The sequence below is a fragment of the Homo sapiens genome, chromosome 1 (assembly GCF_000001405.40).
Source record: "Homo sapiens chromosome 1, GRCh38.p14 Primary Assembly".
Taxonomy (NCBI): Eukaryota; Metazoa; Chordata; class Mammalia; order Primates; family Hominidae; genus Homo; species Homo sapiens.
Genome location: NC_000001.11, coordinates 110,031,317 through 110,054,831, shown reverse-complemented (window position 1 = coordinate 110,054,831; position 23,515 = coordinate 110,031,317). Strand labels below are relative to the sequence as shown.

At 48.6% G+C, this 23,515-nt stretch overlaps 1 protein-coding gene and 1 long non-coding RNA gene across 7 annotated transcripts, besides 3 other annotated features; one reads left to right on the top strand and one right to left on the bottom strand.

Annotated features, from left to right (window-relative positions):
- Positions 1-190: 190 nt before the first annotated feature.
- On the bottom strand, positions 191-23,255 carry STRIP1 (striatin interacting protein 1). 5 transcript variants are annotated; one of them, NR_073071.2, is made up of 22 exons: positions 20,015-20,208; positions 16,872-16,941; positions 16,075-16,149; positions 15,526-15,660; positions 15,317-15,437; positions 14,895-15,008; positions 14,129-14,197; positions 13,190-13,296; positions 12,971-13,098; positions 11,562-11,744; positions 10,976-11,193; positions 9,927-9,992; positions 9,754-9,817; positions 8,081-8,152; positions 7,216-7,290; positions 6,963-7,060; positions 5,594-5,720; positions 5,272-5,372; positions 4,423-4,489; positions 3,772-3,876; positions 2,945-3,149; positions 191-1,167 (listed from the first exon to the last, which is right to left on the bottom strand). NR_073071.2 is itself a non-coding variant. In NM_001270768.2 (21 exons), exons 3-21 carry the CDS (start codon positions 16,112-16,114, stop codon positions 920-922), a joined length of 2,229 nt encoding a protein of 742 aa, NP_001257697.1. In that variant the 5' UTR covers positions 16,115-16,149; positions 16,872-16,941; positions 23,192-23,255; the 3' UTR covers positions 191-919. The 5 variants fall into 5 exon arrangements, 4 of the variants coding, with proteins under 4 accessions (NP_001257697.1, NP_149079.2, XP_006711058.1 ...); NM_001270768.2 differs by lacking the exons at positions 14,895-15,008; positions 20,015-20,208 and adding an exon at positions 23,192-23,255; NM_033088.4 differs by lacking the exon at positions 14,895-15,008.
- Positions 19,393-22,536, top strand: LOC105378895 (uncharacterized). Of its 2 annotated transcripts, none has more exons than XR_947693.3 (3): positions 19,393-19,423; positions 21,401-21,483; positions 22,395-22,536. It is a non-coding gene; the product is annotated as an uncharacterized LOC105378895 (long non-coding RNA). The 2 variants fall into 2 exon arrangements; XR_947692.3 differs by lacking the exon at positions 19,393-19,423 and adding an exon at positions 20,196-20,676.
- Positions 19,614-19,683: a silencer, noted in NCBI's record as "silent region_1166". NCBI's record gives its function as "represses an Ori minimal core promoter by ATAC-STARR-seq in GM12878 lymphoblastoid cells {active_cell/tissue: GM12878}" and the evidence as "EXISTENCE:reporter gene assay evidence [ECO:0000049][PMID:35858748]".
- Positions 19,924-20,143: a silencer, noted in NCBI's record as "silent region_1165". NCBI's record gives its function as "represses an Ori minimal core promoter by ATAC-STARR-seq in GM12878 lymphoblastoid cells {active_cell/tissue: GM12878}" and the evidence as "EXISTENCE:reporter gene assay evidence [ECO:0000049][PMID:35858748]".
- Positions 20,144-20,533: an enhancer, noted in NCBI's record as "active region_1460". NCBI's record gives its function as "activates an Ori minimal core promoter by ATAC-STARR-seq in GM12878 lymphoblastoid cells {active_cell/tissue: GM12878}" and the evidence as "EXISTENCE:reporter gene assay evidence [ECO:0000049][PMID:35858748]".

Genomic DNA, 23,515 nt, shown 5'->3' with positions numbered 1-23,515 from the left:
AATCCCAGATTACTGTGGGGTTAACTTACACTGGATAAATGCCAACTCTCTCTCCTCTTCCCCCAGGATGGGAAAGGCAGGCAGCTTGACAAGGACAAGCGTTGACCAGCAATGCTAGCAGAAAAAACCACTTTCTAGACCTGGAGGAGATACGTAGAGGCCATATTTCCTGTAGACAAGCCAACGGGAATTATTTTTGCTTCTTTTTAATGTAAACAGAATACACAATCACATTAAAAACCCCAACATGACACAGAATACACACAGAATTATATATAGATATTTACAGGCCCTCGAAAGCCAAAAGGAAAAATGGCCCCTCTGGTTAAGGGAAGCTTCTCTTCCTACCTTGTCCCTGTCCAAAATCAAAGTGCTGAGGCAGCTGAAGGAGCCTCCGCAATTACTTCTGGATATAATGTAGCAGGAGGCTGGAATAACATCAGAAACACCCCACCCCCACCCCAGAGCACAACCAAGATACCGACTTTCTGGCCCTGGCCCTAATCCTAAACTCTCCTCCTTTGCAAGCTGACAAAGCAAGGATTTGTATGTCTCGAGAGGCATCAGCATGACCCCTGAAATTCAGATGCACGGCGGAGGGGTTCCCATCCCATTCCAGCTTTCCCAGCCTTGGGCTGATTGTGAAATGAGCCAAAACCAACCATATCCAAGAGAGGAGGGTGGGGGAAGTAAAGGAAGAATGGATCTCAGGCAGAGATGACTGCTTCGGAGCAGGACCCTGGGAACCAAGGGGAGGTCAAGCTGGGCTCACCCAAGCCCAGGACAGACTGCGGAAGACACAGTGGGGCTGTGCTGCCACCTGGTGGGGGATGGGAGCACTGCAGCAATGAACTAGGACAGTCCCACAGGTACCTTCAGATCATCTTTTCTCTCCATTTCAGTCCCCTAACCAACAGCCTCACTGCAGCAGCTCTTCCCAGGAAATGGGCTTGGAGAAGACCTCCCTTTCTAACCAGAGGTCATAGTTCATCTGAAAGTCCTCAGGGAGGTCCACCCGTTGGCCCAGGACACTCTGCAGGCAGTTGTCCACTGGCAGGAAGTCAGGGTTGCTGTGGGCCCGGTCATAGCGCCGGGCGTTGAAGCGTTCAATGTTGGCACGAAGGGCACACTCCTCTGCCTGGAAGTCCCAAGGCCGGGCATCAAGATCTGAGACAAAGCAGGAAGAAACACCGTTAGGAGCCATGCCCTGTAGCAGCTCCCCATGGATTCACTGGCCAGGAATATTGAGTGTCAACTAAGAGCAGGATACCTCCGAGCTCATCCTCAGAAAGATGCCAGGAATTCCTTCCTAGATCCAAAGGAGAGTCAAGTACAAGCAGAAAAGCCAGAGGTACTGAGAAAGAGGCTTATACTGTAGGGATTATGTAGACCCAGAGAGGGAGAACCATGTGTACAACACATTTCTCTCAAAGTGGCATTCTCCCTGGCTCTCTGGGGTCAGAGGGAGGAACCTGGAGATCTTCTCCTTTGCTCATTCTCTCTCAACTCCCCAACCAGGTACCGTGTGCCACTGTGGGCCTGCACACATTCACAGGGCATTGAGAGTACAGACACAGTCATTCAGCCATGGTGGTATATTCCAGAAACGCAACAACGCAGCAACACGCACACACAGAGCAGCCCAGGTGGGCAGGGGAGACACACTGTGGGCGAAAGAAGAGTGCCTGCAGAGGCCTAGTAGTGGGAACCACACGGCTATGTTCAGGGACTGAGCACTCCCTGTGCCTGGAGCTCTGGGTATGATGGAGGCTGGACTGACAGCCCGTAACAAGGTTGAAAAGGAAGCTGGGTCAGATTACAGAGGAGGAGAATGAAAAAGGACGAGGGAGCCTCACATGCCCTGCCTGAGTCTGAATCTAATTCTAAGGGAAATAGGAAGCTAATGAAGGATTTTACTCAGGGAGGTAACAGCACAGGATCTGCATGTTGAAAAGATTCACTAGGGGGCCGGGCGCAGTGGCTCACGCTTGTAATCCCAACACTCTGGGAGGCCGAGGCTGGTGGATCGCTTGAACCCAGGAGTTCAAGAACCCCCTGAGAAGGCTGGGCACAGTGGATCATGCCTGTAATCCCAGCACTTTGGGAGGCCGAGGTGGGTGCATCTCTTGAGGCCAGGAACTCGAGGCCAGCCTGGCTAACACAGTGAAACCCCATCTCTACAAAAAATACAAAAATTAGCTGGACATGGTGGCGTGCAGCTGTAGTCCCAGCTACTTGGGAGGCTGAGGGGGGAGAATCGCTTAAACCTGGGGGGCAGAGGTTGCAGTGAGCTGAGACTGTGCCACTGCAATCCAGCCTGGGCGACAGAATCTCTGTCTCAAAAGAAAAAAAAGACCACCCTGGGAAACATGGTGAAACCCTGTCTCTATAAAAAAGATACAATTAGGTGGGCACAGTGGCATGTGCCTGTGGTTCCAGCTACTCAGGAGGCTAAGGCAGGAGGATAGTTTGAGCCCAGGAGGCAGATGTTGTGGTGAGCCAGGATCGCACTCTAGCCTGGGCAACAGAGCGAGACCCTATCTTTAAAAAACATCAAAGTAAAAAAGGATCACTAGGGAAATCTGAGACACTGATGGAGGGGAAGAAATTAGAGGCAGGGAAGTCAGTCAAGAGCTGTAAGAGTTTAGGTGGCCAAAATGGGGATGAAAAGAGGGGACACAGTCTTATGACAATTTCTAGAAAAGGAATGACTTGGAGGTACAAGGAGAGATGGGGATGATCGCAGATGCCAAGGCTGGGTAGCTTCTCAAAGTCCTTCCTAGAGTGCCCATCCTGATGCTACAAAAGCAGGAGCTGGGCTCCTTCCTGTTCCTTGGGGGGAAGCTCAGGGCAGAGAAGTACCTGAGTACCACGGGCAGGGAGTGAAAGATGTCACTTTTCCCGACACACTCCCACCCAAATCTGGCTGAGTGCAGAGTCTCACCATTGCCGTATGCCCAGTCGTCGTTCAGCCGATGCCGCACCTTCTGGTAGATGGCAGACATGGTCTTCATGTTGCTCTTTCGCCACTGCCGCCCCAAGTATTTGGTCTGTACCTTGAGCAGCTTCAGCACATAGAGCTGCATCATGGCTTGTTTCACCTTTAGGGCCCGCTTCAAGATGGGGGCTGACTTGAACACCACCAGCATCTGGGAAGGGAAACAAGCAAGCAGCCCAAGTTGAAGACAAAAATAAATGCATACATCCCAGGTCACACTGCTGCTTAACCCTTTGGAAGTTACTGTCAGGGTGACAAACCATCCCAGTTTCCCTTGGACTGAAGAGTTTCCTGATACATAGGACTTTAAATGCTAAAACCAGTAGAGTTCCAGACAAACCAGGATGGTTGGTCACCCTAACTATGTGTCACTTTGGAATCTGAAGAAAGCTATGGATTCCTTCCAGAAACATTCCGGTGTACATGTACACACAGTTATCAGAGGATTCAAGGACCTCCCCACCCCAAAGGCATCCACAGACCCAGAGTTAAGGAAGATTCTCAGAACCCTGATTATGTTACCAATCAAGATTAAGACGACATGGAAAAAGTTCTTCTATAAATGTAGATTTGTTTCAGTGCATGACTGGGCCTCTTCCAGCTTCCAGTTCAATTCATCAAGGAACTGGGAATTGGCCCTTAAAATGCAAGGATACGGCTACAGCAAAGTTAAGTGAGAAGGCACAGTGAGCCCCACCCTGGGGACTCCCTGCTCCCAGCACTCTTCTTTGAGCTCCAAGTTCCAAGCCTGCTGACTACACTGACTCACTTACCATTGTCCTTGAATGCTTCCACTTTGTCAGCTTGTTCAAGATCCGAAGCAGATTGATACAAGAAAAGAGGTTCCTCCAGCAAAATTGGTTACTGTCACCTGCTTCCTGCAGGGTAAACCCAGGAACAATCAGCCCTCATGGCTGCAGTGTGTGCAGCAGTTTCCAAAAGTCCCTCACACATGATCTCAGGACAGCCGGGTCTCCAGGCCTCTACCAGGAATCCCCTGCTCTCAGAGCAGCCCCAGGACTCCATCCCAGAAGCTGGCAGGGGACTAGGGGAAGAGGGAGGCTCCCTAGACTTTTCCTGCAGGAAATATGAACCATGATACTGGGAGCTGTGGCCTTGGGCTGCCCCAGAGCTCCTACTGCCGAGTCCAGTGTTGAGGGAGAGAAGCCCTCTACTAGGTGAGCTCTGGATCAGCAGCCCCTGAAGACCACACTCCCTGACTAATCCCTAAATCCAAATCTCTCTGCTCTGCAAGAGCCCTCCTCCTGGCCCTTCTGTACACTTACAGTGCTTTAAAAGCCGGGCACTCCACAGTGATTTCACCTGCGGGAGACACCTCTATTCCTGCAGTGTTGGGGTAGGCAGGCTCTCTACCCACTGACCCTGGTGCCAAAAGGACAGCTGAGGAGAGCCCAGCCACTCACCAAACTCTCCGCCGTCAGCTCTGGCAGCTCATGCACCACGCAGTGAGGGTAATCCAGGACAGAAATGCTGCAGAGGGGAGAGGAACCAGATGCCCACCATGAGCAAAGGCCCAGGGCCTGGTGGAGCAGCCGTGCCTGAGCCAGCTCCCAGCTTTCCTCCCTCACTTGTTGGAGCAGAAGTAGGAATCTACCTGATGTGTCCCACCCCAGTTTCCCCACCTATAAGATGAGGAAATATCTGTTACAAGAGAACTTGTAAAGCACCCCTGTAGCCAGAGGCCAGCTTGTTGATCTTGTAAGGGGAAGAGACCCTCACAGCTTCCCCCACAGCAATCAATGTGGGGCGGGGGAGGAGATAGCTCAGGGCAACTAATTTATGCCAAACCTTTCTGGAGACAGGGTCTGGCCGGCGCCCTGTGGTATATCACACTGACGAGCAAGTAATGTCAAGCACAGCTGGCACCAGGCCAACAGCAGGGGCTAAGAGTCAGCAGATAGGGCATTACAAGGCACATGGCCGAGCCCCTTAGAGACAGCAAGCAGCCCATGGACTCCTCAAAAAAAAAAAAAAAAAGTACAGAAGGGACAGGGAGGAAAGTACTAGATCCTGGGATGAAAACCCTCCTGCCCAGGCACAGACCAAGTCACCTGGGGCAGGACTAGCTAGACTCAGATTTGACACAGTGGGCTCTCCACAGGCAGAGGCCATGTCTCATTTATCTTTATGTCTTGATGCCTAGCACAGTGCTGGCTCGTAGGTGCTGGAAAAATGGACACAGTGGGAAATACCAGCTGGGAACTCTGCCGTCTGACCATATCCACCCCTTCATGGTCCCTGGCCCTCATCACCTGTTCTTGGCAGTGATGTAGGACATGATGTTTTGATTGAAGAACTTTAGGATCAAAGGAATGCAGTTGGCAAACACCAGGTGCTGGGCCATGTATTCAAACTGAAGCCAACAGGAAAAAAAAAAAAAAAAAAAGGCGCGGCCCTTGGGACCTTGCCCTCTTTCCTCCAGGGATGAAAGGCCTTGGCTGAAGGGCCATGTCTTAGAACATTCATGCAGAGTTCAAGTGGGTCAAAGGCCAAGGCCCCCGTTCTTGTGGGCTGGAGGAGCAGCAGTGCCCGAGGCCCCAGCCCACAGGACAGGAGGGAAAGCCCTGTGGGTACCTGGTAGACATGGTTCAACTTAAAGTGCTTGAGCAGCAGCAGCAGGACAGCAGAAATGGCCTTAACAATGACCTCTTTGTGGCGGTTTACATCCACCCCCAGCTTCATGCTCTGCAACACTGTGGTGCTGGAAACATAATTGCCTGGGTAAGCCACCAGCATGCGCAGTACCTCATTTCTAGGTGCCCACAGAAAAGATGGACTCCGGAGCCTCCCTGGGCAAAGACTCCTACCTCCCCACTCACCCCAAGGACATCTCAGAAGTCAGCCGAGGGCTCCCCCATCCACCTCCCAAGCAATGTAGCCTCGCACAATTTATTTCTTCCCCATGATGCCCTCAAATACATTCTCAGTCTGTTTCTCTGCCTTTCCTCCAAAAATGAACTTCTTCTCCTTTCCAAGATCTCCCCTAAGCTTCTGCTGCCATATTAACCTGAGTTCTCCAAATGTGTTCTGTGGAATACCAGGATATTGGCAAGTTTCATGTCATGGAAAAAAAGGGTTTTGGAGTAAGATAAATTTAGGAAGCACTGAGTTACATTGGTTTCTTAATTCAGGACTTCTCATTGTACATCTTTGTAAGAGGAATTCCTCCTTATAAGAGAAATCCATGAATCAAATATACAGTATTTGACTCTAGAACCTTTTTTCCAAGGACCATCACATGATGGCCTAGTGTTCTGTGATCCTCCCTCTGGTGTTAGCCAACCCCTGCCTCCTCCCTCAGCCGGCCATCACTGCCATACTCCGGGGCCACAGCCACCCAGGAGCTGGGCTCAGGGCTGGTGGCCCAGGCAGGCAGAAGATCAGGTCAAGGTCCAGGTCCTTCTCAAAGTAGAACATGATCTCAATCTGGACTCTCACATGAAAGACAAGTACAGGGCACAGGGCAGAAGAGCTCTGAAGAATCTCACTCTATCGCCCTGAGACATTTGCCAGCATTCTGCGTGCCCAATCACTGGCGAAAAGGGATGTCTCTATACCTGGCACAGGTTCAGCTGTTGCTGGCAAGCTGTCTACAAACTAACCCTCCTCATCCTGGGTGTCTCAATCACAGCTGGAGAGTGGGGCTTTGGGGAAATGTCCAGGGTGGCCCCATTCATTTTACAGAGGAGGAAATGACTTTCCCCAATTCACTCAGGAGTTTGCTCAGTGGTAGAGTCTACACTAGAATCCAGGCCAACAGGACCAAGCCATCTCCCCAACCAGTGAAACTCTTTAATCTCGTAGTTTCCTTTTTTTGGGTCAAAAATACCTACATTTAACCTGTAGAGCTGGGCCAACAACAACCAACCTGACAAGAGGAAAATGTTTGCCCTTCTCCATCTATCTTCTGCCCCACCTGCTTCATTCACAGAATGATACTCACGGCATCTCCTCAGGCAAGACGTCCGCTAGGATGTTGATTGAGTCTGTTTTGGCTTTTGAGGTGGGTGCTGCAGCCAACAGGATCTTCAGGAGGGCAATCTGGGAAGAGTAGACCATTCAGACACAGGTCTGAGAGCCCAGGGTCAAAATTAAGCTCTGAGCAGTCCTCCTGTTGGTCTGCAGGTGGCAGGAGGACGGCAGGGCCTGCTCTAAGGCCAGTGTAGTGGGAGTGTCCCACTGCAGGCACCACTCACCATATACTGAGGCAGGCTGGGGAGCAAGCCTTGGTAGAGGGTTTCTGCAGGGACTTGCTCAACTTCTTCTTCTCCCTTTTAACATAATGAGTACAAGCATAAAACCCCAGCCCAGAATACAATCTCCTGAGCCAGCTTCCTAGCTGGCTGGAGGAAAACCTGTAAACAGTGATGTACATAATGATGTTAATGATGATAACAGCAAACCCTGAACACAAACAATGTGCCAAGCATTTTACTTGTAATAACTCAGTTCATCCTTATTATTATAACCCTATAAAGGTATTATTATTCCTATTTCACAGACAAGGAAATAAAGCATAGAGAGACCCAGTAACTTGCCTAAGTTGCCATCCATAAAGTGGTGGACCCAGGCATCAGAGGCAGGTTCCTGACTCAGTCTGTATTCTTAACCCTGCACTAGACGTGTCTCAGCCTGTGCACTGGGAGGTGGACTGGGAGCTCTTTGAGGGCAGGGCCTGGGGCAACCTTGTGGTCTAATCCCAGCACAATGCCTGGGAAGAGCTGGGGATCCCGGGGGCTGAAGAGGACCTCTAACTTTTTTTTTTGAGATGGTCTCGCTCTGTCGCCCAGGCTGGAGTGCAGTGGCGCTATCTCGGCTCACTACAAGCTCCGCCTCCCGGGTTCACGTCATTCTTCTGCCTCAGCCTCCTGAATAGCTGGGACTACAGGCGCCCGCCACCACGGCTGGCTAATTTTTTTTTTTTTAGTAGAGACGGGGTTTCACCATGTTAGCCAGGATGGTCTCAATCTCCTGACCTCATGATCTGCCCTCCTCGGCCTCCCAAAGTGCTGGGATTACAGGCGTGAGCCACCGCGCCCGGACTGAGGACCTCCAACTTACCCCTGAGAGAGGGGAGCGGAGGTATTCCTCCTCCATCTGTGCCTGGACCTCTGCAATCGACGTGTACTTGTGCTGGTGGGAGAGATGGGAAAAGAAGGGCTGGGGAAAACATTCTCTGGCCAAACTCCCTGCACTCTAGCAAAATCCCCACACATTTGTCTTCAAACACAGTCTTCTGAAAGAGGATTAAGTCACCACAAAAATCCCTAGCTAAAATCCCAAACCCCAGATATTTTTTATTTTTATTTTTTTGAGATGAAGTCTTCCTCTGTTGCCCAGACTGGAGTGCAGTGGCATGATCTTGGCTCACTGCCACCTCCGCCTCCCAGGTTCAAGCAATTTTCCTGCTCCAGCCTCCCAAGTAGCTGGGACTACAGGTGTGCACCACCACACCTGGCTAATTTTTGTATTTTTAGTAGAGATGGGATTTTGCCATGTTGGTGAGGCTGGTCTTGAACTCCTGACCTTAGGTGATCCACCCACCTTGGCCTCTCAAAGTGCTGGGATTATAGGCGTGAGCCACCATGCCTGGCCCCAAAATATTTTTCTAAAAGGGCCCCTTCCTCTTGCAACTACAGTAAGAAGCCCATGGTAGATAAGAAAAAAGTAAATTAAAGGAGGGAAATGGCCTTTCAGATAGCTACAGCAACAGGAGAAAAACTGAAAGCAAAATCAAGTACTCAAAAAGCCTAGCTGCAGAGAGACCACTTAGTACTACAAATTCCAAAAATATATTTCAAAAACATAAAAACAGTTTCACTCCAGATAGCTGTTAGGGGAGATGCCTCTTCCCCACTCTTAATGTTCTCTCCCGTGTGGAGGGACAGGGGTTTGCGAAACACCCCTCATCTCTCTCTGCCCCGTCCACACACTCACTCCTCCCTTCTCTGATCGGAGAGTATGGGAGGGGACACAGGGCGGACTTGTCCTCACCCTTCTCTTTTCTCTTTAGAACCTGTCTGCCTGCTGAGAGTCTGCTCTCTTCTCCTCCCCGCCACCAAGCTTGGCAGAGCCTCCCCACACTGCCTGGGACTGGTAGGTAACTCTGCCTAATTCTGGAACAACGTATTAGGACACTACTGCTGTGTTCTTAAGCCTCATTCTCCATGGCTCTATGAGCTATAAAGTTGGCATTACAATCTCCATCTGCCTACTCCTCTATTTCAACCGCCTGAGAACGTGGGCAAGGAAAAGGAGGGCTATTTATTGAGCTCTTTAGAATTTCAACAACTGTCAAGTAATATAATCCTTTTTTTTTTTTTTTTTTTTTTTAAAGAATCCGGGTCTCACTCTGTGGCCCAGGCTAGAGTGCAGGACCATGATCATAGCTCACTGTAGCCTTGATCTCCTGTGCTCAAACAATCCTCCTGCATCAACCTCTTGAGTAGCTGGGACTACAGGTGCATGCCTTGGTGCCCGGTGGTCAGGTAATATAATCTTTAAAGACTTCCCAGTCAGTCCCAAACAAAAGCTCAGCTAAAACAAGTAAAACTTATAATAAAACAAGCAAAACTTACGAAAGACTGTTTGCAAGGTTATTGCAAAGTCCACCCCGGCCTCTACCCCAGGTTCTTGCAGGCAGACAACAGTCTTAAAAGGCTTCTCCCTACAGGCTGGTTTCACTCTACTCACTTAGGACCAAACAAGCCAAAAGCTCACCCAAAGCCACTCACCTGTTTCAGAGTCTTGATGCTTTCGTGGATTGGCCTGGGCAGCCCCACCACTGTGTTCGTGTCACTGGAGAATAAAGAAGGCCCTGTGTTGAGCCTCGACATCAAATCACCTGGGATCCCAAACACCAAAGGCCGGGAGAGCTAACAGCAAAATGAACTCGGCTTTTACTCACCTGCCTAGAGTGTAACCTATAAATTTGCTGCGGCTGGACTCAAGGAACATCTCAATGTCTTTCTCTCTGCCACATCACCAAAAAAGAGAGAAAGAAAAAAGGTTTTTAGCAAATGCTATTTCAAAGTGTTACAGTTAACAAAAACACAGCATCCAGAAACTGTGAAGCCAGGAGAAGTCTCCTATAATTGTTTTTCTCTTTGAAAAAAGGGAAAAAACTGAAATTTTCAGAGAATTTTAATGTTTCTTATAATTTTGCTGGATCAGTAACCTGGAAATACATGTTAACTAGTTTATTCATAAAATTAAAGGGATATATCAAACTTAAAAACATGCTTTATTCAGATAGTATGAACAAGTTTGTCAACAGACTTTCTTAAATATTAAAACTTTTAAACAATTAAAGCTATAGGCTACTGATTTTTCATATAGCTCACTTTTCCTATCCCAAACAATCAGCATACCTTGCATTTTCTGATGATCTGTTTTGCATTCCCTTCACAGATCACTGAAAACTGAGGCTTTACCTGGATCAAGAAAGCGACTTCTATATCCTCTCACATGTTCATCTATTTCTTAAGCTGCTGCCTATCAAACAGACACCATTTATATATCTCCAGGTACCGTCCCATCCATCGATTTACCCACATATATCTCAAACATTTTCATTATGGCTCTAAAGAAACTCTTCCTTAATCTATCATTTTTGTTAAAAACCATACACAACCCCAGGATGGGTGGAGACATGTTTGCTTAAATGCTTTTGTTTTTATTTGTTTCCTATCCCCCTTCACTAGCACATCTAACCAAGAGCTAACTCCAATTACTGCCTCAGTAGCCACATGAGGGCCATGTTGTGTGAGACCAGCAAGGCCGGCCTCCCTGAGACCCTCAGGACAGCACAGGGTGCTTTAAGAGAGCCTCATCCCAGAGCCACGGTCAGCCTGCCCTGCAGAGGACCACACATGGTGACACAGGCCAGGTGGCAGGCCTGAGGGTGTGAGGGCTCTGCCTCAGGAACTATGAGTGCTCTGGAGGTCTGAGACTCACCTGACCTTGGGAGCCCACGGGAGCCCTTTGGGGCAAGTCAGCCTGTCAGTCTGTGGGTGCTGTAGCGGGGGAGGCATCACTTCATCCCGTTCCAGGGGAAACGTCTCCCCCTCCAGACTGTTGTCATCATCATTCTCCTCTTCCTCTTCTCGAGAGTCATCAGCCTTGTAGGGATCCCGCTCGTTGAAGGCATCTAGGTTGTCCTGCTTTATCAGAGCCTGAAACCAGGGAAGGGAGATGAGACAAGAGCCAACTGAGGACGCAGACCAGGGAAGTGCAGCCAGAGGAGACACAGCACATACAGGTGTCCAGTAGAGGCAAGAACAGTGGAAAAACCACAGTGGGAGTCAAGACGGGGGCCAAACCATCAACTACTTCTTGCTCCAGTCCCTCAAAAGCACCACGTGCTGAGCACTCACCATACACTGGACCAGAGCTGGGGACAAAGTATCCTCGCTGTGGAGGCATGATTCTGACTGGCTGATCAGAGATCATTTCCAGCAGCCCTGCTCCTCCAAGGACTGTGCTGCTGCAAGCATGCACCTTGAGGGCCCTCAGGAGTCACAGGGACCTCTGTCGTCCTCACCTTGTGCTCTCGGCGGCCCCGTTTCTGCTGCTGCTCAATCAAGTCTGAAGCAGATGCTGGTGGAGAGGCTGCTCTCATGTTGCGAATCACTTTGATGCTGTCCTCAGGAAGCGGGGGGAGGCCCAGGATGCTGCGCTTCTCAGCCTTCATGCTCTGCAGCTCCTCAAAGCCGCCTAGCGTGCACTGCATCACAGACAGGGAAGCAGAGCCAGGGTCAATGTGTCCACAGGCTGGCCCCTGACCATTGTGTCAGGCTCAGAAACATTCATGACATCATGACCCATGTCTTTATAGAGACCCAGGCAACTCCTGAACAATGGACTGAAGCCACTCCCAAGGAGAATTCCGTGACATCCGCAAGGGAAAGGAGAAAAAGGAACAAGGAAAGAGTGGAGATGCAGGCTGACTGACCCTAGTGCAGATACACTAACTCTGCACCTATGACATACTCTTCAATTTAAAAAGAAGCAAAGAGCCTAACCCTGCAAGTTCCTAGAAAAGTTGGTGAGACTCATGTTTCACAAGTTGTACATGCAAGTCTTTCAAAGTCAAATTAGAAATACTGTTGGTTGCTCAACTTTAGAAGAAGAAAAAAAGCTTCATCTAAACATCTCCCAAGAAGCAGAAACGCCAGCAACATCCAGCTTTAGACTGCTTAGTTTTACTGTTTCTGAGCAATTCAGCTTTCCTCTCTAGCCTTAGCAAGGCTTTATGAAGAACAGAATGTGTGGCCAAGATAAAATGTGTCAATGACTTTTAAGAAATCCTATACTTACTGAGCCCTGGCTCCAGAGTTGACCCATTCTGAAAGGAAGGATGAGCCCCAGTGTAGCAGAGGCCCAACTCACCTCCACCGCCTCCCCATGTCACTCCTCCTGGGAAGGCCTCCTGGCATGGCCTGGCTGCTAACAACGCTCCAAGCCCAGTGTGCTGGACGGCCCACTCTGGCACCCAGTCCCTCCCTACCTAGACACAGAGTCGGGCTGACACCATACCCTGAAGAAAATGGAGGCTGGCTCAGGGCTCACTCTTGCCCCTTTAAGTGATATCCAACCAGGGCCCCAATTACATCAGCTGTAACTTTGCCTCAAATCCCTTTACAAACTCCAGGTCCAGAGCTGCTTGCTGAGAGGCAACTTGTCTGGGGGAGAGCTGTTCTATGACAGAAAACAGCTTCCGGGGTCAGAGAGCCAACAGCCTACTCTGACTCAAGGCCTATGTCCTCGTTGGCTGCAATGGGACAATAGTGGCCCTTCTTTTGTCATCTCCTTTTAGCAGCTTTTTAAATAATTTTTTTTACCAAAGCAGTTTTACAGTCACATAATTCAATATTCAAAAGGATATTCAAGGAACAGTCTCCCTACTGCCCATCCCATAGCACCGTTCTCCTCCTCCAAGGAGGTGCTCACCAATACTGTCTTCCAGAGCAGCAAGAGAACTTTCTTCATGGGAAAGTGAGGGGCGTGACCACTGCAAAATTTGGTCACCATCCCAAACAGCATGATGGCAAATGGCTCATTGTTGTACAGCGGGGAGCCTGGAGGTGACACAAAGGTATCAGGACCCTCCCAAAGCCTTCCGCCTCAGCTTCCAGGCAGGGCCTCTAGAGAGGATCCCCAGGGTCCTACCCAGCTCGGCTCTGAAGGTCTGCCGCATGGTCCTCCACTCAGCCTTGTCACCCTCACACTCCTGATGAACGGTCTCCACTATCAGGTACATGATGTTGAGCAGGACCCTGAGGACAAGAGCCAGCTCACAATGGAGTGGGATGGGGGGGTCAAAGGAGCACCCTAGTGTCTAACAAAGTGCTTACACAAAGCAGGGGCTTACTATTAATAAATGGTATCTGAATAAATGAGTATGAACAAGAATGGCCAAAAGCATTTACCACCCTAAGCTTCCTGAAAAGAAAAAAACCACAGAGGTGGTAGCGAGCTGTAGGGTCAAAGCAGAACAGGGTCACAGTGAGAACAAAAACAGGGTTTATGATGAGGAAATGGAAAGCAGGAGCTGAGAGGTGACGCCCAGGGATCCTAACACCCGGGAGGCAACACTACAACCACCTAGTCTAAAAACTTCCAAATTCATAAAAAGAGCCAGATTTCAACCCTCAAAAACTGAGGGGTGATCTTGGTGGTCAGCAGTTGCTGTGAGCTCCTGGGCAGCCATGAAACATTAGGAAGCTGTCAGGTCTAACCCAATGAAGATGAGCATCAAGCTGTGTACACAAGAAGGTGGGAGTCCAGGGAACACCATCAAGTGTTTCATCCAAATACAAAATACCCCACGACCAGGTCCTGAGTAACAGTGTGAGTAGGAGGCCACACTTAGCTGTGGCTCTAGTAAGTCACTTGACCCTGGATTGCCTTTGGGAGTCTCAACCCAGAGTCCCACCTAGGACGAGCCCTCAGCAGTTCCTACTAATCATTCACACTGAGCCCATCACACATGCAGATGATGTGTACAGAAGCACACACAGCAATGACACCCACAGACAGCCTCCCACACCCTGCTCTGATCTCATCTCTGACTAACGCTCAGGAGCCCAGGCTTGCTGCTCGCCTCACCTGAGGTCTGTGCTGTCAGCCAGGGAGATGGCAGGCTTCCTCACAGCACTGCTGCAGGCGGCACTGTTGCTGCAGGAGATTTTGAGAGTCAGCATCTTCCTCCAAGAAGGAAGATAAGTGATGTCCCTGACAAGTACTGACCAATGGGGAAACAAAATGCTGTGATACGTGCTTGGACTGCACAAGAGGCCACAGGACACGGTGGTTAAGAAACCAGACCATGGCTGGGCATGGTGGCTCATGCCTGTAATCCCAGTACTTCGGGAGGCCGAGGCGGGTGGATCACCTGAGGTCAAGAGTTTGAGACCAGCCTGGCCAACATGGCGAAACCCCATCTCTACTAAAAATACAAAAATTAGCTGGGTGTGGTGGCAGGCACCTGTAAACCCAGCTACTCAGAAGGCTGAGGCAGGAGAATAGCTTGAAGCCGGGAGGTGGAGGTTGCAATGAGCCAAGTTCACGCCATATCACTCCAGCCTGGGCAACAGAACAAGACTCTCTCTCAAAAACAAAAACAAAAACAAAAAAAACACAAAAACAAAAACAAAAAACCCAGCCATGCACTGGACTGCCACGGTTTGAATCCTGGCTCTAACTGCGCCTTAGTTTCCTCATCTGTAAAATGGGGATGACAGTAGTACCTATATCCTTAACATGAATTAGCACATGTAATATTCTGAGAACAATGCCCGGGACACACAGGCACTCAATGAGCTGTCTTAGCTTTATCATTGATGGTGTTATCCTTAGATGAGCAGCAGCTGACCTGTCCACTGGACAAAGGTGACACAGGCAAGGCCAGGCACTGGTTGAGCCCATATGTCAGTCTTGTGCCTGGCCTCCTGCCAAGGCGGAAACTGCAGGGCGAACACAGCAGTGTCTGCAGGTTCAAAAGAGAGCTCAAAGTGAAGAGTCTCCTTCTGAGGAGCACCCCAGGCCTGGGCAGGGCCTGCACTGTCTGGTGTAAAAACTCTGGCATCAGGGAGCTGCAGGGACCTGTCATTAGTCTCCATTAATCTTCAAGGTGTAAGTGACCAACTCCGTTATTCAACCCAGGTGGTCAGAACACAGCCTGGGACCAGAACTTCTGCCCCATTTAACCCTCTCAAAGCCAGTTAGTTCTGCAAGCTCTGTCCCCCTTCCCATCCCAGCCTCCCCTTCCCTACTCAGCCTCTCAAAAATGCTCACTCTATTTCCATGTTCAGAAGCTCCACCAAAGCATTGAACGTGCCCACCTCCAGGAGGAGAAAGATGTTGTAGCGCATCCAGGACTGCACCTCTGCCTCCGAGCTGCACTCCCCAAACGTGCCTGCAATGCAGGGTTCAACTCACTGAGCCCCTCCCTGCATCTGAGTGGGCAGAGGTGCCAGGGAACCCTGGGGAGGTCCACTCAATACCTTGAGCAACATAGAGAATTGCTCGAGCCACCTTGAGTCTCTTCTCCCTGGCAGTGACTTCCAAGCCATCCAGGAGCCTCATGGCATGGGTCCGGTGCTGGTTGGTATCCAGCTCAGTCCACTTCTTGTCTGTCACTGCAGGGCAAGAAACCAGTTACACCTGAGCCTAGAAAAATCCTCACAATGGCATGGACCCATGTTAACTCACCAAATTCAGGACTGCCATAGGACCAGAAAGATAAGTTACACCCTATGTAAGTGGTAAGATCATACTGCTGCTCTATGAATTTGATTCCAAACTGAAACGCTGGTATTTTGGGTGCAATTTTAATCACATGATTTTTTTTTCTCCCCTAATATGCACATTCTGAAAAGCCCCCACCGATGTGCCACAAGCCCACTCTACATGTATCTGGCTTTGAACCATCAGGGTTCAGCAGGCTTCTCAGGCTGTTCCAGGATGACTCAGGTCATTCAGATGCCTAAAAGAAACCTGCAGCTCTCGTTATGCAGGGCAAAGGAAGCAAGAAGTGTGGGAAATCATCTCACCATGGATCCGGAAGTCCTCCTCAAAGCATTTTCGATTCATCAGGAATTCTGGCCCTTCCGTGTAGCTGTAAAGCTCTGTCAGAACAAAGTCTCGTCACCATTGGTTCCATGTCTGCATTGCACACCAGGTCTCACAAGTGCAGAGAAGGCAAGGCATTTGCTTCCACTCTCAACTCTGCCCCTGAGTCATAGTGACTCCTGGAATAAGCTCTCTAATTATGAAGGGGATCTTAGTGCTCTGATGTGCACAATAGAGACAACCAGAGTGCCAGAATGCCATCTGGACACTTCCAGTCCGATGTGCATCCATCCCACCATGCCATGCCAGGGCTGACGGCCACCTGGGATGCATCTCTCAAATGGCTGCTACCTCTTGAGCAGGATGTGTATTGTAGAGGCTGGAGAAGCAGCTCACACCGACCTCGCATTACATGAGAGTGGCAGTGGCAGCAGCAGATGGGCACAGATGCAGGCATCCCTCATGACCCATTGCTGGAGGAGAGACCACTGTCAGGGTCACAGTGGATAGCCAAGGAACATCACTGTCTCACAATGGGACTGGGCTCTAGCCAGCTTCATAAAAGTAAAGGACAACACAAAGTTATAAGATACACAAGGCTTGAATCAAATAACATGTTTTATACATATATATATATATATATATATATATATATATATATATATATTTGATAGAACTAGGGAAAGCAATGAAGCCCTAAATGATATTCATTATTAATTTTATTAAAGACCAATAAGGAAAAAACCACCCCCAAATAACACAAAGGTCTGTGCGTTACCCGAGAGCTCTGCAGCCCACTTGTCTGTGTCAGCATACTCAAACTCCAGGTCTGGTGACTCCGAATAGCCCTGCTGACAAGAGGAGAGAGCTTTAGGAAAAAGGATCATTCTATTTATCAAAGAAACTCATGCTTCGAGATGCTGTTGTGTTACAGGACACCACTGCCTCCACTTTTTTATGTTTTTTCACATTTTGTTTCCTAAAACCTCTCAGAGTATCCTATACTTTTCCTTCAGAGCATTTATCATAACTTATCATTATAGGATGTGTTTACTGTCTGCCTTTCCACAAGACTGTAAGTTCCCTGAGAACAAGAACATCATCCATTTAACTTACCAATGATTTCACAAGGTCCAGCATGGTACCTGGCATGAATAAGTGAATGAATGAATGGTCTATACACACATATTTGTTAAATGAATAAATACAAGGTTTCTATGTATTTTGTGCAGTAAATGACCATTCCATATGATGCTATGATTCCAGAAGTCTTAACTTCTTTCTGGCTAGTGGACTGTCAACAGCTCAGGACAAAAATGAGTATTGAAACCCTCAGCTTTCCCACCTTTGTCTCAAATTTCAGTGAGAACTGACAAAGAAGGCAGCCGCCAAACAGATCAACTTCCCTCCCACACATAAGAGAAAATGTGACAAAGACAATCTTTTTCCTGCTGGAAATAGGTGATTACTGAGAACACACCATCTTGGAAGCCTTGTACTGGGAAGAGAGAAGTGAGAAACAAATAGGTAAAGTCCTTAGGTTTAATTACAGTCTACCTGGGAAGACAAAGACCAGCCACAAAATGACACAACATACCCACAATGGCCAGGCGAGGTGGCTCATGCCTATAATCCCAGCACTTTGGGAGGCCGAGGTGGGCGGGTCATTTGAGGTCAGGACTTTGAAACCAGCCTGGCCAACATGGTAAAACCCCGTCTCTAATAAAAATATAAAATTTTTTAAAAATATATTTTTACATGGTGGGGCGTGCCTGTAGTCCCAGCTACTCGGGAGGCTAAGGCAGGAGAATCGCTTGAGCCCCGGAAGTGGAGGTTGCAGTGAGCCAAGATCGCGCCACTACACTCCAGCTTGGGAGACAGACAGAGACTCTGTCTCAAAACAAAACAAAACAAAACAAAAAACATACCCACAAACAAGAACTCCACGTTGTGTTCAGAGATAACACAGTGTACACTTTCACAAGTTACTGAGCTTCGGTTTCTTCATTCATTGAATGGCAATGATGAAAATCTACTTTGAAGATTTTTAAGGACTAATCAAAATTATGTAGTACATAGTGGGCTCTCATCAAATGTGAGCCTCCCTGTCCTCCAGGCATTCACTGATCAGGCTCCCAAACTACCGATTTCAGCTATGACTAAAGAAAGATCATGGCATCAGACTCTCTATAAAGAAATGGATTTAGACAGGTCTCTGCTTAAATGTGTCCATTTGACTGGTCTTTCATGTAATGAGTCTATGAGGAAATTTTTTTTTTTGAGACGGGGAGAGTTTCGCTCTTGTCACCCAGGCTGGAGTGCAATGGTGCAATCTCGGCTCACTGCAAATCTCCACCTCCCAGGTTCAAGCAATTCTCCTGTCTCAGGCTCCTGAGTAGCTGGGATTACAGGCACCAGCCACCACGCCCGGCTAATTTTTGTATTTTTAGTAGAGACAGGGTTTGATCACATTGGCCAGGCTGGACAGGAACTCCTGACCTCAGGTGATCCGCCCGCCTCGGCCTCCCCAAGTGCTGGGATTACAGGCGTGAGCCACTGCACCCGGCCTCTATGTGGAAATTAAAGGGTACAAAGAGAAATTACAATTCGTCAGAGGGTATCTATTTGACCATTCGTAGCTACTCTGGAAAATTTTAAACCATTTTTCAAAATGATAACTCCTCTCATGATGAAGGTAGGTTCACCCCCCTGCACTTTCGTAATCTTCCACTTGAAAAACTGAGTAGTTAACACTGATGTCCGTCATCCCACCATGCCAGGGCTCCTAAATGGTCAGTGTTTTTGTTTTTTTCAAATAATTCACTCCAAGCTCAAATTACGTCTACTTCGGGCTTGCCAATTGTTGACATGTTTTCTCAGGGGTTTAGCCTTGCTAACAAAAAATAAAAGCTTCTGAGGAACTGATTCCACAGGTCTAAAGGTAGTATCATTGCTCTTTGGTATGAATTGGTACATTATGCTTGGACAACTAGGAATTCCCTCTCATTAACTTGGCTGATCAGTTTGGCTGCTGATCAATCTAGGAGATGGCATAGTAAGTGCTCTGGGAACCTGCTCATTAAGAAGCCCTAAAACTCCGCGACATGAGTATCTTCATTCATGAATTCTGCAAAAGGAGGCAGTGGGAGGAATTCCTTAACTTGGGGTGAGGTTACTAGTCAGTTCCAGACTATGCCATCTCCAGAACGGCAGGAACGGCTCACTAGCGAGACAGGAAGGAATGTTGGGTCCTAACGCATGCTTAAAATGTCTATTTCTCATCTTTAACAGTTCAGTATCAGGCGCACTGGGCACAATAGCCCACCACAGGTACTGTTAACCCATGGCCTGATCTGGCTCAGGTCAGAAGAACAGGACATGTTTCCCCCTCCTACTCTACTCTCAATGATAATTAGCTCGGTCCGGCTCTAAGTTCCTTCCAGATCCTCGCCGGCGCCTTCCCTGCCCACACGCGCCTTCCTCTGCGAGCGGCAGGACCCAGGAGCTGGAGCCCGCGTGCCAGGGACAGACGCCCGAGATGATTAGGTTGGGGGCGCGGCAGCCCAGCGCCCTGGAGTGCACCAAGACCCCCGACTCCTCACCCCCGAGCTGGGGCGAGAGCGGCTTCCCCAGGGGCTAGGGCCTCGAGGCCACGCCCACAGTCGGGGCCCAGGGGAGCAAACCAGCAGTCGCCGGCCACGGGAAGCTCTCCCGGGCGGCGGAGCTAGAGCAAGGACTCATGCTCCAGACCCCAGGAGCTGCCAGCCTCGCTTCCTGCTCCTTTCGCTGTATAGTGACAGTTCTCGGCCGGACTCTACCGAGCCCTCCGGGAAGCCCAACCTGGCCCCTAGAGTGGCCCCGGGCCCGGGACCCCCGGCGCCGCCCGACCCGGTGCGAGCCTCGCCCCCCGAAGCTCCTGACCTCTGAGTCTTTGCGCTGGTTGCGGTTGAACTCGCGGGCTTTGCCCCCAGGCAGGAGGCCCGCGGCGGCCCGCGGTGCCCCGGGTGGTGGCTGTGCGGCTGCCGGCGGCGGAGGTGGCGGGGGCTGGGGCTGTTTGTTGTTCACGATCAGTGGGCCCGGACCGCCGACTGCCGGCTCCATCTTGGCTGCTCCACACCCCCAGCTTAACTCGCGCACAGCCGCCGTGATGCAACTCTCGCGTGATTTTCTCCAGGAAATTTCCCTGGCCGCCATATTAAGTGTGGCGGCCAGTGTTAGAAGCCATCTTGGCTGACCAATACCTCGCGATATTCTGTCTGCAGTCCTTCCCTTGTTGATCTTTTTAGTTTTCCACCTTCCTTTCAGTTTCAGTTTAGATGTAATTTTATCTGTGAGGCTTCCCTTAGCTTCTTCAGTCAGTTTAGTTACCCCTCCTTCCTCTAAATCGCTTTGCACTTATAACTCATAGCCTTGTTCAAGGCTTAGGCGGAATTTTGTAATGAACAAAATGGATAGGATCCTAGTCTTCACAGAGTTACCGTTGTGACAAGTGCTTGTCATTCATTCATTCAACAAACATTTAATAAATGTCTCCTGTGCACCAAGCAGTGGGATAAAATGAGGAACAAGTGTCTGCAGTCACGGTACATAACAGTGCTTGGTGGGTCAGACAAACAATAGACAAATATAGAGAAATAAATGCTGAAAAGTGTTAAAGGAAAATTTGTTCATGGCACTAATTAAAGATGGTAAGGCAGACTTTATGTAAGAGAGCCCATGGTGATAGTTACAGGGACCACTACAACCAGATCTTGCAGTGAAGAAGAGGAATTAGACTCAACTCTGACTCCAACAAGATATAGTGGGGATTTATAACCAAAGAGCAGGATGAGGGTCAGTGGACGGAAAACTACTAAGAGAAACATCAAGGATAAGAAGTTTCTTGCTAAACTGACCTAACAGGATTATTGCTGAAAGCAGGACAGGGTGCTAAGATGTTGAGGGTGGTCAGATACCGAGTGCTATGGTTTGACTGTGTCCCCCAAATTCCATACGTTGGAAACTCAATCCTAAAGTTCATATGTTGATGGTATTTGGAGGTGGAGCCTTGAGGGGGTGATTAGGATTAGATAAAATCGTCAGGGTAGGGCCCCTGTGATGGGACTGGTGGCTTTATAAGAAGAGGAAGAGTGATCTGAGCTGGCACACATGCTCTTGCTTTCTCACCGTGAGAGGCTCTCTACCATGCAGTTTAAGAAAGCCCTCACCAAATGCAACCCCTCGACTTTGGGCTCCCCAGACTCCAGAACTGCAAAAAATAACTTTCTTTCCTTTATGAATTACCCAGTGTTTTGTATTCTGTTATAGCAACAAAAAATGGATTAAGACGCCAAGAGTGGAGAGTCCCTGCACAAACTGGATTCAACAAGGACAGAAAGGAAGCCCAAACGGTTAGTCCTAGTAGGCAGAGGACTCACAGGAGCCTGACTAGAGTTTTGGCCAAAGAAGAGAATCTTTGTCAGAAGTAACAAAAATTGAGAGGTTAAAAGGTGGCAGTGGGGCGGGGGGCAGGGGTTGGTGGAGGCGGAGAATGTGGCTATAATATAAGCATGCTGCCCAAGGAAGGCAGGCCTGAGGGTGTGATTTTAGATGAGTTCTGAAAGAAGTGAGGAGAAGCCCTGCAAAGTTCCAGGAAGGGCACACAGACAGATGAAACAGCTAAATGCAAAAGCCCTGATGTTAGTGTCTGGAATTGAGTGAGCCAAGGGAGGGATAGTAATTGATAGAGCCATATAATGATAATGCAGGGACCAGAAGAATGCAGGGCCTTGAAGGTAGTGGGAAGGAGTTTGAATTTTATTCTAAGTGAAATGGAAAACCATTCGAGGGTGTTAACCAGGGAGATGTTATGGTGTGATGTTTACAAGTTCAATCTGGCTGCTTTTGGAGAAGGGATTGGAGAGTTGCAAGAGTGGATAAGGCAAGACATGTTAGGGGACCATGTAGATGGAGATGATGGTGCTTGTACCAGAGTGGAGCATTGGGTTGATATTTCTATATTGTGTAGGTAGGGGGACAGGATTTGCTGGAATCTTATCAGCTGGGTAGGGGAAATAAACAATGACCCCCTTGATCTAGGTTTGGGCAACTGAGTGGATGGCTGTATCACTTTCATAAATAAGTAAGCTCGAGAGTAAGAAAAACAGGTTTAGAGGAAAGATCAAGACTTCAGTTTTGGACACATCAAGTTTGAGATACTCATCAGACATCTTAGAAGTGTTGCGTAATAATAACTCTTACTATTATCTGTTGTTATACTGTGAAATCCTTAAAGGCATTTTATCCATCTTTGTCTCTCCAGCTTTACATATTGCCTGCTTTACACCCCAGGCTCAAGTCCAGAAAGTCCCTGTGATACAACTCTCCAGTGATTTCCCCTGAGGTCCAACCTAGTAGGTGCTTAAAAAGTCTTTGTTGTAAATTAATAAATTAATCCAAAACCACCACACTGCTATTTCCTCCTACCTATCTTCCTGTGCCTATCATAAGCTGTATCACCCGGGGAAAAACATTTTTCAGCTAAATTTAGAACAGGGAGGGTTTTGGTTCCATAATTCCACTTCTAGTAATAGATTCTAAGGAAATAATCAGATTTAGATAAAGATAGGTGTATGATAATATTCAGGCAATGGTGTTTTCAATAGTGTAAAGTTGGGATCAACCTAATTTGAAAAATAGCCAATAAGAAAATGGCTAACTTTGAGGGGCCAGGCACCGTGGCTCATGCCTGTAATCTCAGCACTTTGGGAAGTTGAGGTGGGAGGATCGTTTGAGCCCAGGAATTTGAGACCAGCCTGGGCAACAGAGCGAGACCCTATCTCTAAAAAAAAAAAAAAAAATCAAATTAAAAAAATTTTTGAAAAAGAAAAATGGCTAACTAATGGAATGGGGCATGCATAAGACAGAATATACAGATCTAGAAGGAAAAAGAATCCCAAATGTGAAGGAGCAGAAGCACAGCTGGAGAGCTCACTACTCTAACTTGCTAGGAAACTTTGCGAAAAGCACAATCCAGTAGAGAGTAGAAGCTGTAGAAGTGTCTTCATGCACTTCTCTTTTTTTTTTCCTTCCCCATCTGTAAAATGAGAATAATCCCACCTGTATTTTTGTCAGAGATGTGTGAACCACAGCAACTCCATCTTGAACAGGGGCTGGGTAAAATGAGGCTGAGACCTACTGGGCTGCATTCCCAGGATATTAGAGCATTCTTAGTCACAGGATGAGATACGAGGTCAGCACAAGATACAGGTCATAAAGAACCTGCTGACAAAACAGTTTGCAGTAAAGAAGCCAGCCCAAACCCACCAAAATCAATATGGTGATGAGAGTGACCTCTTGTCCTCCTCACTTTTACACTCCCACCAGCACCATGACAGTTTACAAATGCCATGGCAACACCAGAATGTTATCCCAGATGGTCTA